Here is a 4,961-nt window from a genome sequence, read left to right as displayed (position 1 = left end):
GATTGATCTTGGGCCTTTTCTCCCATTCTTTGTTTACTGATCCTACCATTGAGACTGGGCTCACCTTAGTTCCTGGGTCAGGCAGGAGTCTTCCCTGAAAGCAATGCCTGTCAACTGGAGACCTTGAAATTCCACTGACTTCATACTAACAACACCCTCTCACACACATACCCCTGGAAATGTATGCTTTGACCAAAACCCCCTATTTGATTGAATTATAACTTCAGGTTACATGAATGACCCAGAAATACCATGTCCCTGCTTCTGTCATCATAACCACTCCCTGTACCTCAGCACTGTGTTGTCCACCACCTGTTGGCCTTTTAGTTAATATCTTTGGATAGATGTTAGGCCAATTTGGCCGGTCCTAACACCAAATCCATTCTCCCAGTGCTGGCATCCATTATACCAACGGTGAGGTCTTAGCAGGCTTTACCAATTCTATCTGAGTAGTAGCACAATTTTCTGATTTTGACAAGCATTAGGTAGACCATGGGTTTCTTTGAGATGGCAAAAATCTAACACTTCTCATTGCACATGTAATCAATAATGACAGGTGCCATTCACTGAAAATCTCTGTGTTTCATGTACTATGTTAGGTGTTTTATAAACATTACATTTTTTCATTGAGAACCCTTTTTACAAATAAGGGAAAAGAAACACAGATGCTAATTGCTTTGCCACAACCCATTCATCTAATGTATGTTTTATTCAGGATTTAAGCCTGAATTATAATGGCTCTAAAGTATGCGCTCTTTTCCCTGGATAAAGCCCCCACTTTGTAATTCATATAAGGCTGTGTAATACTATTCCAGAGTTCCTTTACTTAGCATCGATGTTCCTTAAAGCAAGAGATTCATTTGTATATTCCTATACTTCCCTTAGAGTAAAGCTAAGAAATTAATAACGCAACTGACAATTTCTTGATTAATTTATTAAGGAAAAACCATAGTGTAAATAAACTTCTAAGTTAGGCATATGGTAAAAGTATAATACATACACGTTGAATGAAATCTGATAAATTATTGCCACTTCTTCAAATGTATATTTACAGGATGCAAGAATATTCAAGCTAAAAGTCATCTAACCCTCAAATAATAAAATTGAACATTCTCTACTGCCCAATATTTACAAATAGGCAGTAGAAAAAAAACTTGAATTTTTACATTCTATATTGAAAATGGTACCCCTCATTAATGATGGCTAAAACACTCTGGGCTTTATATATAAACAAACTTAAGAAGACTCTGCAAGGTGAAGACAGGAAGACCTACTGGACAGGAACCTTGGGGCCCAAGGAGGAGCAAAGTGGTGAGCTCCATAGAATTCTTCCTAGTCTCACGTATCCCACACCAGATCTTGGAAAAGCTAGCAACCCAAAAGCACCAATGGCCTCCAACAATAACAATTAAAGAATGCCATGTGAATCTTGTTATCTCTCACCACAAGACAAGGAATGTGGCAGCCAAGAAACCCAGAAAACCTTTAGATGATAACTACGCCATTCCGGGCGAATGCTGTGGGAAATGGGACATGGGGCACGTATGGCCCCCTCACCTTGCTGTGAAGGACAGGAAATCTATCTATAGACTCAAGAAGCTGAGAAAATAACAAAAAGGATAGGTCCAAAGAAATTCATGTCAAGACACATCATAATCAAACTTCCAAAAATTTTTTTAAAAATTTTGAATGCAGTGAGAGAGAAAAAACTTACCTATAAGAAGAAACACAATTTGAATGACAGTAGATTTCTCATCAAGAACCACAGATGCTAGGAAGATACAATGCAATATTTTCTAAGAGATCAAAGAAAAGAACTGTCAACCTGGAATCATGCAAAATCATCCTATCATGCAAAATCATCCCGTAAAATGAAGAGAAAATCTAGGCTCTCTCAGATGAAAAAAACTAAGATACTTTGTCACCAGCAAAACTATCTTAAAGGAATGGCTAAAGAAAGTTCTCTAAAGAAGAAGGGAATTGATAAAAGGAGAAACCTTAGAATGCCAAGAAGAAAGAATAAAGTAAGTAAAAAGATTATTCTTCTCTTTTTAAGTTTTCTAAATTATGTTTGAAAGTTGAAGCAAAAAATCATAACATTGTGTGATGTAGTTCCCAAAGTATGCAGAGAAAATATAAAAAATAAAAATATTACAAATGGAAAAGAACAAAGGGACTTACAGGTGGATAAAGCATTTATACTTGACTCATAGTAATAAAATGTCAATGCCAGCAGACTGTAATAAGTTATATATATATACACAATTTAATACCTAGAGCCATTAATAATTTTACACAAGAAATACACTAAAAGGTAGTTGACATAAATCCAAATGCAATTCTAAAAAAAGATGCAAATAAAACACAGAATGGCAGGAAAAAAACAACAGAGACCAAGATCAGAGGGAACAAACAGAAGGAAAATGCAATGGCAGAATGGCCTTAAGCCATAGGCATGTTTAATCTCTAAAGATTATTTTATTAATTAGTTAATTAAAAGTTGTGTCTTCAAAATGAAGCAATTAAAAATAATTGTAATATATTTCATTATACGTTTTAGTTATCACCTGGAAAAGAAGAATTAACCAAATTACTACTTCATATATTGCTAAGGAACTCACCAAATTACTACTTTATGTATTTCTAAAATTTGTATTCATTTCTAATTTGTAGACTAGGTGACAAATTGTTTATTTTCTACTACAACTTTGATGAATCATAGAAGTCAAACAAACTAAAGTAAGATATTCATAAACCTGATGAATATATCTTGAGGCTTACTTTTGTTCTAGGTAACAGAACTTAGGAATTTAGGTGGTAGACAACCACTGCTTTTGTAACTTTTTATTACTCCCCCACCAGCACCACCAGCATCTCAGAGGAATATAGCCCCATATGGCTTTGAAAGCCATACTCAATTCATCTCTCTATGGGTGTCCTGTGGATTGGCTTAACCCTAGATACAGGAAAACCATGTGGCTTTGGCCTGGTCATTCAGAGAAACTCAGCCCTTTGGCCACAGTTGGCTAAGAATATGACCCAGTCCCACTAAAAGAGACACAGGGAGATGGTTGATTGACGAGCGAGGATCAGATGCTCTAATTATCTCTGGACTTGGATCCAGGCACATGAAAACTCTTGACAGATAACTTACTTCATGTGAACACTAAGAATAAAGCCACCACTGATGAAAGTTGAGCAACATAGATTGGAAGAAGGTCTTTATTGGGCTCCTGGATTGAGTCATTCTTTTTTTTCGCAACTTGTACTTTAGGTTCAGGGATACACGTGCAGGTTTGTTACATGGGTAAGTTATGTGTTGCAGCGGTTTGGTGTACAGATTATCGTTGTCACCCAGGTAATGAGTATAGTCCCCAACCCAATAGGGAGTGCTTCTATCTTCACCCTCTCCTCACCTTCCACGTTCAAGTAGGAATTTTGTTTCTTGTATCTGCATTAGTTCACTTAGGATAATGGCCTTCAGCTCCATACACTTTGCTGCAAAGGACATGATTTCATTATTTTTTATGGCTGCATAGTATTCCATGGTGTATATATATCACATCTTTTTATCAAGTTTAATGTTGATGGACATCTAGGTTGATTCCATGTCTTTGCTATTGTGAATAGTATTTCAATAAACATATAAGTGCATGTGTATTTTTGGCAGAATGATTCATATTCTTTTGGGTATATACCCAATAATGGGACTGCAGGATCCAATGGTAGTTCTGCCTTAAGTTATTTGAGAAATCACAAAACTGCTTTCTACAGTGGTTGAACTAATTTCCACTCCCACTAGCAGCATGTGTTACCTTTTCTCCACAACCTTGCCAACATCTGTTATTTTTTGACTTTTTAATAATATCCCTTCTGACTGATGTGAGATGGTGTCTCATTGTGGTTTTTACTTGCATTTCTCTGATGATTAGTGATGTTTAATATTTTTTCATATGCTAGTTGGCCACTTGTATGTCTTCTCTTTATATATATATATATATATATATTTTTTATTATACTTTAAGTTCTAGGGTACATGTGCACAACATGCAGGTTTGTTACATATGTATACATGTGCCATGTTGGTGTGCTGCACCAATTAACTCGTCATTTACATTAGATATATCTCCTAATGCTATCCCTTCCCCCTCCCCCCACTCCACAACAGGCCCAGGTGTGTGATGTTCCCCTTCCTGTGTCCAAGTGTTCTCATTGTTCAATTCCCACCTATGAGTGAGAACATGTGGTGTTTGGTTTTTTGTCCTTGCGATAGTTTGCTGAGAATGATGGTTTCCAGCTTCATCCATGTCCCTACAAAGGACATGAACTCATCCTTTTTTATGGCTGTATAGTATTCCATGGTGTATTTGTGCCATATTTTCTTAATCCAGTCTATCATTGTTGGACATTTGGGTTGGTTCCAAGTCTTTGCTATTGTGAATAGTGCCGCAATAAACATACGTGGGCATGTGTCTTTATAGCAGCATGATTTATATTCCTTCGGGTATATACCCAGTAATGGGATGGCTGGGTCAAATGGTATCTGCTCATGTCTTTTGCATGTTTTTAAAGTGGGGTTGTTTCTCGCTTATTTAAGCTCCTTATAGATATTCTGAATATTATACCTTTGTCAGATGCATTACTTACAAATATTTTCTCCTATTCTATAGGTTGTCTATTTATTCTTTTGATAATTTATTTTGCTGTGCAGATGCTCTTTAGTTTAATTAGAGTCCATTTGTCAATTTTTGTTTTTGTTTCAATTGCTTTTAGAGTCTTCATCATGAAATCTTTGCCAGGGCCAATGTCTGGAGTGGCATTTTCTAGGTTTTCTTCTAGGGTTTTTAAAGTTTTTGATTTTACATTTAAATCTATATGGTATAAGAAAGTGTTCCAGCTTTAACCTTTGCATATTGATAGCCAGTTATCCCAGCACCATTTATTAAATAGGAAGCCTTTTT

Source organism: Homo sapiens, chromosome 2 (genome assembly GCF_000001405.40).
Source record: "Homo sapiens chromosome 2, GRCh38.p14 Primary Assembly".
Taxonomy (NCBI): Eukaryota; Metazoa; Chordata; class Mammalia; order Primates; family Hominidae; genus Homo; species Homo sapiens.
Note: the sequence above shows the minus strand (reverse complement) of the source record.